Source organism: Homo sapiens, chromosome 9 (genome assembly GCF_000001405.40).
Source record: "Homo sapiens chromosome 9, GRCh38.p14 Primary Assembly".
NCBI lineage: Eukaryota > Metazoa > Chordata > Mammalia > Primates > Hominidae > Homo > Homo sapiens.
Window position 1 is genome coordinate 121,548,715 of NC_000009.12, and position 14,587 is coordinate 121,563,301.

Consider the following 14,587-nt stretch of genomic DNA (forward strand, 5'->3'; position numbering starts at 1 on the left):
AGATGGAAACTTGGAGATTTGGGAGGAAATGAAGGCCAATGGAGAGAGAAAATATTTGGTTAATCTAAACAAATATTGTCTGTATAAAACAATAATAATTAGGTCTTGTGGAGTTTGAAATATATAAAGGATTCAAATAGCAGATGGTAACAGATGACAATAGCATCCAAGTCAGGAGGGGGTAAATGGAGTTTTAAGTGGTCTAAACTTCCTGCATTTCCCTACGAGCAGTGAGAGTTTGTCTGTAGCAGACTTTAATAAGTCAAGGATACGCATTATAATCTTTAGGATAACCACTAAAAGAAAGGAGTACTAACAAATTAATAAAGCAATGCCATGGATTAATTAAAAGTACTGTATCAGTCTGGGCTTGGTGGCTCACGCCTGTAATCCCTGCACTTTGGGAGGCCGAGGTGGGCGGATCACTTGAGGTCAGAAGTTCAAGACCAGCCTGGCCAACATAGTGAAATTCCGTCTCTACTGAAAACACAAAAACTAGCTAGGCGTGATGATGGGTGCCTGTAATCCCAGCTACTCAGGAGGCTGAGGCACGAGAATCGCTTGAACCTGGGAGACGGAGGTTGCAGTGAGCGAGATCGCACCACTGCACTGTAGCCTGGGTGATAGAGCAAGACTTTGTCCAAAAAAAAAAAAAAAAAACCCACCAAAACAAACAAAAAAACCCATATAATCCATAATAAGGTGAGAAAGGAGGGAAAAATATATTTTTAAAAGAAACTTCAGGGTAATTAAAATGTTCTTAAATTGGACGGTGGGCACACAGTGTCCCACTTCAACCTGATTCATATACTGCACGTATATTAAATAAATTTTTTTTTTCCAGATGGAGTCTTGCTGTGTTGCCAGGCTGGAATGCAGTGGGGCGATCTCAGCTCACTCACTGCAACCTCCGACTCCCTGATTCAAGCAATTCTCCTGCCTCAGCCTCCCGAGTAGCTGGGATGATGGGCACATGACACCATGCCCAGCTAATTTTTGTATTTTTAGTAGAGATGGGGTTTCACCATGTTGGCCAGGATGGTCTCGATCTCCTGACCTCATGATCCGCCCACCTCGGCCTCCCAAAGTGCTGGGATTACAGGTGTGAGCCACCAAGCCCAATCTAAATAAATATTCTTTTCTCCGAACTCCACAGTTGATAAAAATGTTTAAAAAGCAAAGCAAGTGGCAGAACATTAGGCATATGCAATATGACCTCATTTGTGTGTGTGTGAATATATATATATATATATATATACATATACATATATTCTTTCTGTTGAAGAAAATCTGGGCTGGGCATGGTGGCTCATGCTTGTAATCCCAGCACTTTGGGAGGCTGAGGCAGGAGGACTGCTTGACCTCAGGAGTTTGAGACCAGCCTGGGCAACAGAGTGGGACCCTGTCTCTACAAAAATAATAATGAAAAAACTACCTACATATGGTGGTGCGTGCCTGTAGTACCAGTTACTTGAGAGACTGAGGTGGGCGGATCGGTTGACCCAGGCAAGTGGAGGCTGCAGTGAGCCATGACCGCTCCGCTGCACTCCAGCCTGGGCGACAGAGCTAGACCCTGACTTAAAAAAAAAAGAAGCCAGAAAAATAATCTGAAGCCTGTTTGCCAAAATGCAATCAGAGGTTGTGGTGGGATGGAATTCTGCAGGGAAGCTGCCCATGCCTGCCTTTTTCTATAGTCCATGGAGTTTGCATGTTGTTTTCAGGAAGTATATTATTACTTAATAATTACAAGTCACAAACAGGCCGCAAATATGTTTCCGTTTTGAAAAAATTAATTTGAAACTATGTGATGAGAATAGGATCGATGGCTGCCGTGGGGTCCCCAACGCCTGCCGATCCCGCGGTGTCCTCCGCTCTCCCCAGCACCAGCACCTCCAGCTGAGCGCCCCGACCACCTGCCGTCGTGACCACCTCGCCCACACGGTGGCGCTGCGGGGACAGCCCAGCCTCTCCAGGCTCCGAGGGCAGGGGACTGTTGTGGCAGGGAGGGGGCGGCGTGTCTTCGGGACCTGATTGATTTCTTTGGCCTCCCGCCGACAGCCTTACCAGGTGGCATCCGGAGCGCACGCTGGCAGCCAGTCAGTCGCCTCCGTGGGTAGCTCCGGAGCATTCACGCGGTGGTGCCGCCCAGCCCACCTCCCCCCACCGGAGTCAAATGGGCTCGTGTCTCCTGGCGACAAGACTGGATTCCCAGAGCAGGCCTGGAGGGCTCTCACGGCACTTGTTAGGACAGGCTTGGGGCCTGCCTCCAGAGGACCTTAGGTTCGGGTCCTTGGGGGAGTGCAAGCCGTGTTGACCCACCTCACGCGTCAAGGGAACTACAGAGGAGGGAGAGGGGGGTCTTGCCTGGGCCCCTCTGGGCTGAGGTTGAGTGTTTCTGATCTGTCTCTGAATTCTCCCACATGCAAATCTGAGCAAGCCACTCCCTGCTTAAGACACGCAATGGCTCCCTATCGCCCTCAGGAGAAGGTCCAAGTCCCTAAGCCTGACTCCTGAGGTTCCTTACCACCGCCAACACCCAATGCTCCATCTCACTTAATCCCTTCATTCCCTTAAACCTGTCAGGCACTTTCTTACCTCTGAGGTTCCCACATGCCATTCCCATTCACTCAAACACCTTTTCACTCCTTTTTCTTCTTGGCTAACTCTGACTCATCCTTCAGACCTATAGTTTAAATGTTGCCTCCTCCCGGAAGCACCCCCCTGCCGCCCAGCCCCCAAAGGTCCCCCAGGCTTCCCTTTCTCAACATCACATGGAGTCTCGCTGTGTCACCTAAGCTGGAGTGCAGTGGTACGATCTCTGCTCACTGCAACCTCTGCCTCCCAGGTTCAAGCGATTCTCCTGCCTCAGCCTCCCAAGTAGCTGGGATTACAGGTGCACACCGGTTAATTTTTGTATTTTTAGTAGAGACGAGGTTTTGCCATGTTGGCCAGGCTGGTCTCGAACTCCTGACCTCAACTGATCCTCCTGCCTTGGCCTCCCAAAGTGTTGGGATTACAGGCGTGAGCCACCACGCCCAGGCTTCACACTTGATTCTAATGATGGGTTTATTGCCTGCCTCTTTCATTGGACGGTGGCCTCAGGAGGGCAGGGGTCTGTCTTCCTGGGTCATTACTGCTCTCTCAGGGCCAGGACCATGCAGCACTCAGCAGGTGCTCCATACATTGCTGTGCCATGAGCGAATGTTCGTGACCATACCTCTCCTGGTGGTGGGTGCTTGAGGGGTGTGCAAAGACACTCGGTGGCCTCTGGGTAGGTGGAGGTGGCAGGGACGAGGCACAGTTACCACAGCCTGTCTAAGGAACCACTGGGCTTCCCTTGGACTCCTGCTGTCTGGAGAGACAAACCACAATGACTGGTGGTTGCCAGGCCCCTCCCCAGCACCCAGAGGGTGGCTGGACACAGGCTGACCTCAAGCGGCACCAGAAAGAGATGAGTGTGTGTGTCCCTTCACCCAGCCCTGTCTGGCCTCCTCCCTGTGCACGCGGTCGCCTCCCAGACTCGATGCCCAGCCTGCATGCCCAGCTGATGATGGATATCGCCTCAAATGTCCTCCAGCATCCTAAAGTCATCTGAATTCTCATCTTCCTCAAATCGCTTCCCTTCCTGGTTCCCCATCTCAGGAATGGCTCCACCATCTCTCCAGCCACCAGCCTACTTTCCTCCCTCTACCATCACCCACCCATCACCAAAGTCTGGTCTCTAATTGAGGACCCCACCATCTGCTTTGCTGATCTCTCCAGGGTTCTAGGAATAACACCCTCGCCCACCCCTAAGCCCTCCTGAGCCCCATATCACAGCCAGGCTTATTTACTTTCAGTTCCCCAAATGAGCTGTGCCTGCTCTCTGCTCCTGGCCTCTGTCTGTGCTGTTCCCTCAGCCTGGCCTCCCCATTTTTACCTGGGGAATGTGTGTGCACCCCTCAGGTTTCTGCTTAGACATCCCTTCTTCCAGGAAGTCCTCCCTGATTGGGTGCCCCTCCTTGGGGCTCCCATGGTCACCTGGGCTTCCCTGGTCTCTGCCCTCATCACACTGTGTTGCTGTTGCTTATCATCTGTCTCCTTGTTGCCAAATCTTGGGACAGCGGTCAGTCCTCAGCACATACAGCTGCTCAGCCTTGCCTGACCCAGCTGGCCATGCCCTCCTTGCTGAAAGCCCTCCTCCCATGGCTTCCAGGTCACTGCTGTCTCTGAGGTCTCCTCCTGTTGGCTGGCTGCTCCTACTCAGTTCTCTTGGCCGGTTCTTCCTCATCTCCTGCACCTAATGTTGGTGTCTTCCAGGACTGGGCCGGGACCTCTCCTCTCCTCTCCTCTCCTCTCCTCTCCTCTCCTCTCCTCTCCTCTCCTCTGTCTACTCTCCTTCCCTTTGCACCGGCCTTCAGATGCCTGGGTTTCAATCCCATTTGCATGCTGACAGCCCCTGAATTCTATTTCAGCCTGAATCTGTCCTCCGGCTGCTCCTCACCTCTCCACTCGATGTCTAATGGATGCCTCCAGCCCAGCAAGTTCACATGAAGCTCTTGGCTCAAACCCCTTCCTCCACTGACTCTTCTTCTGGGACCCTCATCCTTCTGTTCAGGAAGCCAAAAAGCTTGGTGTCATCGTTCACTCCTTTTTCTCACCCCACATCCAATCCGTCAGGAAAGCCAGTGACCACCTTCAACATACACCAGAGTCCCACGCCTTCTCACCACCTCGCCTAGACCACCTGGTCCAAGATCTCTTGTTAAGGCACGTGCAGTGGCCTCCTGGCCCCATCACTACTTCAGCCCTGGCCCCCTGCAGTCTATTCCCAACTGGCACCTGGCCTGGAAGTGAGGCCATGTTCACCCTCAGGCCCCACCTCACTTGGAGTAACAGCCAAGCCCTTCCCTGCCTACGAGACCCTCGGGGGCTGACCTGTTCTCCCACCACTGCTGGCCTCAGAGCCTTCGCACTGTCTGTTCCCTCTCCCTTTGAAACTCCCCCCATCATATCTGCACAGTGCCCTGCCTCTTGCTTTCAGATCTCTATTCAGGGAGGTCTCCCCTGGCCAATCTGCATGCAGATGAGGTCTCCGGTACTTCCCGTCTTAGACATATGTTTATATGTTCCTTATCTGTCTCCTCTACTAGAAGTAAGTCTATGAGGGCAGGAATTTCTTTCTCCTGTGTTCCCTGCTGTATTTTCAGTATCTAGAATGGTATCTGGCATGTAGTAGACCCAGATAAATATTTGCTAAATAAATGAATGAATGAACAAGTGCCTCCTTCACCAGACAGTGAAGATTTAAATGGCAGACACATGATCGTACTCACCACCATAGCCCGAGTACTTGAACCTAATCAGGGCTCAGGAAATACTTGCTGAATCCATGGGCAGATGGATGGATGGAAGGATGGAAGGATGGATGGATGGATGGATGGATGGATGGATGGATGGATGGATGGATAAACTGTCCCCAAGGGTTTCTACCAAGACAGGTACCCGGCCCAACTTTGCAGGAGGAGGCAGGTCTGTCCACCCTGGTGATGCCTGAGCCCTAGAGTCTCCTAGGGGCATCTGAGACACTGAGGTCCCAGTTCCTGACCACCCCACAGGACTTCCCCAGGTCCCAGAGGGTTTGCAATGCTTGTTCCTGGCAGCAAGACAGGAAACTGCTACAGGATGCCACGCTGATCCAAAACTTCAGTTCTTGTGCCCTTTAACACAGCACTTTTGCTTCAGAGAATCTTTTTGACTAAAAGGCTGGCAACAGTGCACAGAGTTAGAACCGCATGTTGTAGGGTCACAGCAGCATGGCTGGTAATTGCCTAGAGAAGGGAGCAGCCTGGATGCCCAATGGTAGGGGACCGCCTGGGTGCAGGGTGGCATAGCCTGCCACGTGATGCTTGGTGGTCAATACAAAGATCAAAGAGGATGGATCCAGGTGCTGAGATGGGAAGACACGGGGGAGATGCTAAGTGACAGAAGCATGTCACGGAACCATCGTGTGGAATGAGCTGTGTGTGGTGTGAATAATGAAGCTTGTGGGTGCGTGTGTGCCCATGTGTACATGTCTGTGTGCATTGGAAAGGGGCTGAACTCACAGTCACCCACCTGGATGGGGAGTGGTCACCCCTGGATGGGGAGCAGGATTTGAAAGGACACTTCCACTGACTGGCCTAGATACTTTTTTTTTTTTTGAGATAGAGTTTCGCTCTTGTTGCCCAGCCTGGAGTGCAATGGCGCCCTCTTGGCTCACTGCAACCTCTGACTCCCAGGTTCAAGCGATTCTCCTGCCTCAGCCTCCCTAGTAGCTGGGATTACAAGCGTACACCACCACGCCCAGCTAATTTGTGTATTTTTAGTAGAGACGGGGTTTCACTGCATTGGCCAGGCTGATCTCAAACTCCTGACCTCAGGTGATTCACCTGCCTCGGTCTCCCAAAGTGCTAGGATTACAGGTATGAGCCACCATGCCCGGCCCTTTCCTTCTTTCTTTCTCTCTTTCTTTCTTTTTGGAGACAGGGTCTCACTTTGTCACCCAGGCTAGAGTGCAGTGGTGTGATCTTGGCTCACTGCAGCTTTGACCTCCTGGGCTCAAGCAATCCTCCCCGCACCTCAGCCTCCTGAGTAGCTGGGACTAAAGGTGTACACCACTTTGCTTGACTAATTTTTGTATTTTTGGTAGAGAAGGGGTATTGCTATGTTGCCCAGGCTAGTCTCAACCTCTTGAGCTCAATGGATCTGCCCGCCTCAGCCTCCTAAAGTGCTCAGAATAGCACCTAGCCTTTTTTTTTTTTTTTTCTTTTCTTGATAGAGTGGCTCACTCTGTTGCCCAGGCAGGAGTTCAGTGGTGTAATCATGGCTCACTGCAGCCTTGACCTCCCGGACTCAAGCAATCCCCCCATCTCAGCAGTCTCCTAAGTAGCTAGGACTACAGGTGCATGACATCTGCCCGACAAATTTTTTCTTTGTTGAGACAGGGTCTCATTATGTGGCCCAGGTTGGCTTTTTTTTTTTTTTTTTTTAAGAGACAGAGTCACCCAGGCCTTAGAAGACAGTGGCACAATCATAGCTCACTGTAACCTCAAACTCCTGGGCTCAAGGGATCCTCCTGTACACACCACACCTGAGGCTAACTTTTTTATTTTTTGTACAGATGGGGTCTCACTATTTGCCTAGGCTGGTATTATTATTATTATTTGGAGATGGAGTCTCACTCTGTAACCCAGGCTAGAGTGCAATGGTGTGATCTCGGCTCACTGCAATCTCCGCCTCCCAGGTTCAAGAGATTCTCCTGCCTCAGCCTTCCAAGTAGCTGGGACTACAGGCACACATCACCACACCCGGCTAATTTTTGTATCTAGGCTGGTCTTGAACTCCTGGCCTCAAGCAATCTACCTACCTCAGCTTCCCAAAGCTCTGGGGTTACAGGCATGAACATACACACAGGGCCTGTTTTCACATTTTTAAATGGTTGGGGGGAAAAAATCAAAATAATACTGTACTGTTTTATGACACAAGAAAATGACAGGAAATTCAAATTTCAGTGTCAACAAATAAAGTTTTATTGGTACACAGCCATGCTCATTCATTGACATATTGTCTATGGCTGCTTTTAAGCTACAGTGGCCAGTTGAGCAGTCGCATCCGTGACTACATGGCCTGGAGCACCTAAAATACCACCTGGCCCTTTACAGAATAAGTTTGCCAACCCCGACATATAATATATTGCTTGGGGCCAAACAGTAGCTCTGTGGCCTGTCTGGCTTTTTTCTCTTGTGTCCACCTATCCTAAATGCCCTCTCTGTCACTGGGAAATTAGCTACCCTAAAGGATCCTTTCAAACCCTCCCCTCCACCAGGTAGGCTCACTTTGCTGATCCAGCCCCCTCCTGGCTGATGCCTCGGGTATCCCTCCCCACCCTCCCAATCCCCGTCTGAGTGGAGAGCCTCACGGGCAGTGACTGACTGATTCATCTCTGTGTCTCCAGCACTTGGCATAGTCCCTGGTGAAAGTTTGCTGAATTGCATAAACTGCTGTCATTGCCGGGTTGGTGAAATGCTTCCAAGCTTCTTGAGGTTTATCCTGACTGGCCACAAAACCTGAAAACTAGCCAAGAAGCATGGGGAAGGGTGGCTGGGGAGGAGGGTCAGGTGGAATGCAGAGAGCTGAGCTCATGTGGGGAGTTCTGATGACTTCAGGGGCTTCCCCGGGGCAGAATCACTCCCTGTGAGCACAGAGAATAAAACTAGGATGAGAGATTAGTTACTGAGTACAATGGATGTTGTTCGCCTGATGGATACCCCGTAAGTATCCCTGACTTGACCACTACACAATCTATGCATGTAACAAAATTGCACATGTACCTCATACATTTGTACAAATGGAAACAAAAAAGAAAAGCTAGGGGGTGTGGTGGCTCACGCCTGTAATCCCAGCACTTTGGGAAGCTGAGGCAGGTGGATCACTTGATGTCAGGAGTTCAAGACCAGCCTGGCCAACATGGTGAAACCCCGTCTCTACTAAAAATACAAAAATGAGCCAGGCGTGGTGGTGTATGCCTATAGTCCCAGATACTCAGGAGGCTGAGGCAGGAGAATCGCTTGAACCCAGGAGGTGGATGTTGAAGTGAGCCGAGGTTGTGCCACTGCACTCCAGCCTGGGCAACAGAGCAAGACTCTGTCTCAAAAAAAAAAAAAAAAAAAGGAAAAAGAAAAGAAAAAGAAAAGCTAGGACCAGGATTGCCTGGAGGTAGGGAGTTCCCCATTTGAGGAGGTAAGCAAGCGGAGTTTAGATCAAGGATGTCAGGAGATTGCTGCCCTGTTGGAGGGTTTACTGGTTGAGATCTCCAGTTGCTTCCAACACAGAGCTCAGGAAGCCTGGGGTTCTCTTGGATGATGGCCAGGCCCTTGTGCCTCACCAAGGCCAAGCTCTGGGGGCTGGGAAAGGGGACAGAGGGCCCTATTCCTGCCAGCTGCTGAAGATCCCACTCCATCCACACAAGCCTGTGTCTCATCCCTGCCTTGACCTCCTACAATTGTGTGCCTGCTACGGGAATCCAGGGAACAGCTTCCTGGAACACGAGGCAGAGCCGTGGGACCCAGCAGCCAACACATCTCAAGTCCAGCCCCACAGTTCATCATGAAACTGATGATTTCCAGGAACTTTGAGGACCCTAGACCATCATCTCCGTCCACTCAGCCCTGGAAATCCCCCAACTCCAGGCATTTATTTATAGCTTGCCTTCTTTCCTGGAAAGGTTTGAGGTTGTTTAATAATTCCACCTCACATTTGTGCAGCACTAGGAGGAGGCCACAGGGCATTGTGGTTGAGAGTCTGGGCCCTGGAATCAGCTGTGTGTTGGGGGAGGGAGTGCCAAGTTATTTAACTTCCCCAGCCGCACCACAGCGGAGGACTCAAATTTCTAACCCAGCCCCAAAGCGTGGTGCCTGTCACATCCTCCCTCTGTGCGGCTGATTAGCCACTTCCTCCTCTGAGCCTGGGTTTCCTTGGGACAGTTGGGATTCCCTGAGAGGACGTGGGAACTCACGAGGACCCTAGGCAAGCACACACATGGGGCAGCTGGCTGTCTGTGGCCCCTGCTTGCCCTGGGGAGCCGATGACAGGGCCGCCGGCAATGCACCCTCGTCCCCTGGGGCTGGCTCAGAATTCCTAAGGCGGTGCCAACCCTTGGTTCAAGGCCTTTAGATGAGTCAAGAAAGCCTCTGTACAACAAACCCCTGTGACATGAGTTTACCCATATAACAAATCTGCGCCTAAAATAAAAGTTTGCAAAAATAATAATAAAGCAGAGACCACCGCCTCCCTAAATGCGGGGGCTGGAGAAGGACAGTTGTGGGAGGGGCCCGGGATGTAAGGTGAGACCACCAGGGAGCAGACCAAAGCCTGGCTCAGACATTCCCTCTTTGAAGGCCCCTTCCCACCTCCACACCTCCCTGCCACCCCCACCCAGACATACTTCTGCCCTCCTTGGCTAAGAGGCACTGGGTGTTTACTTGGGGCGAATAATGACTTCCTGTCAGGCGGACTCAAGCCCCAGCTCTGCTGCTTCTCAGCCCCTTGAACGCCTCTCAGCTTTCCTATCTGTGAAATGGGGCTCAGAAAACCTTTTTAGAAGGTTGATATATGAGGTGCATGGAGAGTACCAGGCCTCTCTGAGTACAAGACCCTCTGGTCTCCCTCCTCCCATTCTGGCCCCCGGGTACCAGCCCTGAATGAGAAGTGGGGAGGACCCAGTCCAACCAGAAAAGCATTAAGATGCAGGGAGAGCCAGGCGCGGTGGCTCACGCCTGTAATCCCAGCACTTGGGAGGCCGAGGTGGGTGGATCACTTGAGGTCAGGAGTTTGAGACCAGCTTGGCCAACATGGTGAAACCTTGGCTCTACTGAAAACACAAAAATTAGCTGGGTATGGTGGCCTGCACCTGTAATCCCAGTTACTTGGGAGGCCGAGGCAGGAGAATCGCTTGAACCTGGGAGGTGAAGGTTGCAGTGAGCCGAGACTGTGCCACTGCACTCCAGCCTGGGTGACAGAGAAGGAACCCAGTACCTCAATAAGGGCTCCTGGATGGAGTGCATACAAGGCGAGAGGGAGTGGGGAAAAAAAAATAACAACTCAGCCAACGCTTAGTCATTCCACAGATACTTTTTTTTTTTCTTTTGAGCCAGGGTCTTGCTCTGTCACCCAGGCGGAAGTGCAATGGTGCAGTCATGGCTCACTGCAGCCTCAACACCCCAGGCTCAAGTGATCCTCCCACCTCAGCTTCCTGAGTAGCTGGATCTACAGGCGTGTACCACCAAGCCCGGCACATTTTTGTATTTTTTGTAGAGATGGGGTTTTGCCATATTGCCCAGGCTGGTCTTGAACTCCTGGGCTCAAGCGATCCACCTGCCTCAGCCTCCCAACGTGTTAGGGTTACAGGCATGAGCCACCACACCCGGCCAAATATTTTATTCAGTACATGTTTATTGGGGGCCCACTGTGCTGGGCACAGTTCTAGGTGCTGGGATACAGACTGGAGCTTCCATGAAAGTAGGGGCTGGAGAATGATACACAAATAAATATATAAATAATGTCAGGTGGGATCCGAAGGGCCAGGAAGAAAACTAAAGCCGGGACAGGGGCAGACAGAGCCATGGGAGAGGCAGGGATGCAGGGGTCATGATATCTTAGAGAGGGTAATCAGGGGAGCCTCTAAAGGAGGCAGCATATGGCCAGGACCTGAACACGGGGGAGGGGGCTCTCATCCCAAGCAGAAGAAATAGAGGGACCTGTAATCCCAGCATTTTGGGAGGTGGAGTTGAGCAGATCATCTGAGGTCAGGAGTTCCAGACCAGCCTGGCTAAAATGGTGAAACCCGTCTCTACTAAAAATATGAAAATTAGCCAGGCATGGCGGCACACACCTGTAATCCCAGCTACTCAGGAAGCTGAGGCAGGAGAATCACTTGAACTTGGGAGGCAGACGTTGCAGTGAGCTGAGGTCGGGCCACTGCACTCCAGCCTGGGTGACAGAGTAACACTCCATCTCAAAAAAAAAAAAAGAATAAGAAAAAAAGAAGAAATAGGGAAGCCCTGAGGTGAGATGCACCTGGCAGTGCAAAGAAAAACTGGGAGGCCCATGTGGTTGGGGGAGGGGGGAGAGGAAGAGGGAGAAAGGAAAAGGAGAGAAGGGAAAGGAGGAGAGAGGGAGGGAGACAAGGAGAGAGGGGAAAGAGATGGGAGGAGGGGGAGATGAGCTGGTGGGCAGATTTTGCAGGGCCTGGCAGGCTGTGCTATGGGCTATGGATTTTAGATTCACTGAGCACCTCCTCTGGTCCAACTTCTATTTTTTTTTTTTTTTTTTTTTTTTTTTGCGATGTAGTTTTGCTCTTGTTGGCCAGGCTGGAGTGCAATGGTGCGATCTCAGCTCACCGCAACCTCTGCCTCCCGGATTCAAGTGATTCTCCTGCCTCAGTCTCCTGAGTAGCTGGGATTACAGGCACCCGCCACCATGTCCGGCTAATTTTGTATTTTTAGTAGAGACAGGATTTCTCCACGTTGGTCGGGCTGGTCTCGAACTCCCGACCTCAGGTGATCCGCCACCTCGGCCTCCCAAAGTGCTGGGATTATAGGCATAAGCCACCTCTCCTGGCCCCAAGTTCCATTTTAAGTTCTACCTGAATTAACTCATTAGTTCTCCTAATGGCTCTCCAGGCATGGCCTATTTTTATCCTCGATTACAGATGAGGAAACAGAGGCACTAAGGAGTGAAATCACTTGCCCAGGGTCATCCAGCTGGAAAATGGGGAGCTGGGATTTGGACCCAGGCAGGCTGATATCAGATCCTGAGCTCCAAATCACTAAGCTCTGCTACCTGTCCTTGGGGTGAGAAACCCAGTCGGGAGGCACCGGAGCCAGAGCCGACGCCGGATTCCAGCCCACGTGGGTCTGGCTAAATGGCTAGGGTCCGTGTCCTGCAGACGAGTGGTGCTGGGTTGAGGAAAGTGCCCCCGCCTTAGGTCAGTCTCCACCCTGGCTCCGAATCTCAGGAAGAGTAAGACATTCTGAGCCCTCTATGGGTTCCATTTGGCCTTCAATAGCAGGATGTAGCTAGAAAATCAGTGGCTTACTCATTGGCTTACATCTGTAATCCCAGCACTCTGGGCAGATCCCTTGAGGCCAGGAGTTTGAGACCAGCCTGGCCAACATGGTGAGACCCCATCTCTACAAAAAATACAAAATTAGCCAGGTACAGATGCGTGTGCCTCTAATTCCAGCTACTTGGTAGGCTGAAGAATGAGAATTGCTGGAGCCTGGGAGGCGAAGCTTGCAGTGAGCTGAGATTGCGCCACTGCACTCCAGCCTAGGGCACAGAGCAACACTCTGTCTCAACAAAACAAAACAAAACAAAAATCAGAACTCACAGCAGGAAAATAACCTGAAAGCAAACACAGCCAGGCTGTCACACATTTGCATGCCTTGATACACAGTAGTGCCACATGCCCGTCCTCCTCCAGTCTGCCTGATGAACTCCTCTTCATCCCTCATAGTCCAACTGGGCTGGCCCCACCTCTGCAAAGGCTTTCTGGATCCGGCTGAGCAGATCACTCCTCTCTCATGCTGCTCCTTTACCCTAGACCTGTCTTCTTACAGCTTTTAGGCCCCTGGGTTTTGGTTTCAATTATTCCTTTGTGTTTGGCTCCCCCATCTCCACCCAGCCCAGGCCTTGGCAGGGGCAGAGGGGGTGAGTGGGGCAGATGCCACATCTTGCTGTGCCACCCTCACTGGCCACATCCTCCCCAACAGGGCAGCCAATGAACAAGCTGGCCACCAGGTGCTGCTGTCTCTCCCTGATGCCCACTGAAGGACCCTGGTCCACCCACTCCCTCCTGCTGACATCCCTCCACGCAGCCAGACTCGGGGGGCCAGCTGCCACCAGTGACTCCTCAGCTCCTTCCTTTACATGGAGTGACAGGTCATGTCTGGAACCTGGGAATTCCTGCTGCTGCTGGAACAGGATCATGCAGTGGGCTGGTGGGAGCTATGGCTCCCAGAGCTATGCCCTCTGTCCCCACCACTCCACTGAGCTCTGATCCCGCAGCCAGTAGTGACCTGCCGGACATCGCCACATGTCTGTCTACATTTCTCAAACTTATCGTCACCACAGCAGAGTTCCCTCTGCCCAGCCCTACCCCTCTCTACACAGCCTCTCCCAGCTCCATGGACCAATCCACTTGCTCAGGCCAAGAGCCTCAGAGTCTGCCTGGACATGTTTCTTTTCTCTTCCTCCACATCTGTCAGGCTGTGCGTGAGGTCCCCACATATATCTTTTTTTTCTTTTTCAAGACTGAGTCTCACTCTGTCACCCAAGCTGGAGTGCAATGATGTAATCTCAGCTCACTGCAACTTCCGCTTCCTGGGTTCAAGTGATTCTCCTGCCTCAGCCTCCCGAGTAGCTGGTATTGCAGATGCCCAGCATCACACCCAGCTAATTTTTGTATTTTCAGTAGAGACGAGGGTTCAACATGTTGGCCAGGCTGGTCTTGAACTCCTGACCTCACGTGATCCGCCTACCTCGGCCTCCCAAAGTGCTGGGATTACAAGTGTGAGCCACCGTGCCCGGCCCCCACATGTATCCTGAATCTGTTTACTTTTCCCCACCTTTGCTACCAACACCCTGGTTGAGGTCTTTCTCCTTAGGGACCACAGCAGTGACCCACTGGCTTCCTGCATCCTCTTTGGCCACTCCTCCGGCCACCTTCCCCTTGTAGCCAGGGAACCTCTCATGTCACTCTCCTGCTTCAACCTGCAATGGCTCCCACATCCCCTGGCCCACAAGGTCCTTGGAGAGGTGGCCTCTGTGACCTTCCCCTCTTCTCCTGGACTACTCTTCCAGCGGTTCCCAGCCCTGGCCATGCTGGCCATCGTTCCTACCCTCCTGCTCAGCCAGCTCACTCTCACCCCGGCTTTGCAGCAGCTCTGCCCACTCCTGGATGCTCGGCCCCTGAACTCTGCATGGCTGGCTTCTGTTTGCCTGGCAGGTTGCTGCTTGGATATCACCTGCTCTGTTGTGCAGCCCCCATGTAATTCTCTGAATAGCA

The 14,587-nt window shown here is 52.0% G+C and overlaps 1 long non-coding RNA gene across 1 annotated transcript in view, besides 1 other annotated feature; it reads right to left on the bottom strand.

Annotated features, from left to right (window-relative positions):
• LOC107987016 (uncharacterized) overlaps positions 1–14,587 on the bottom strand; it is a 38,337-nt gene that overhangs the window by 20,067 nt on the left and 3,683 nt on the right. The window lies entirely within an intron of this gene.
• Positions 9,316–9,610: an enhancer, noted in NCBI's record as "tiled region #14365; K562 Activating DNase unmatched - State 8:EnhW". NCBI's record gives its function as "activates a minimal TATA promoter and a strong SV40 promoter by Sharpr-MPRA in K562 cells {active_cell/tissue: K562}" and the evidence as "EXISTENCE:reporter gene assay evidence [ECO:0000049][PMID:27701403]".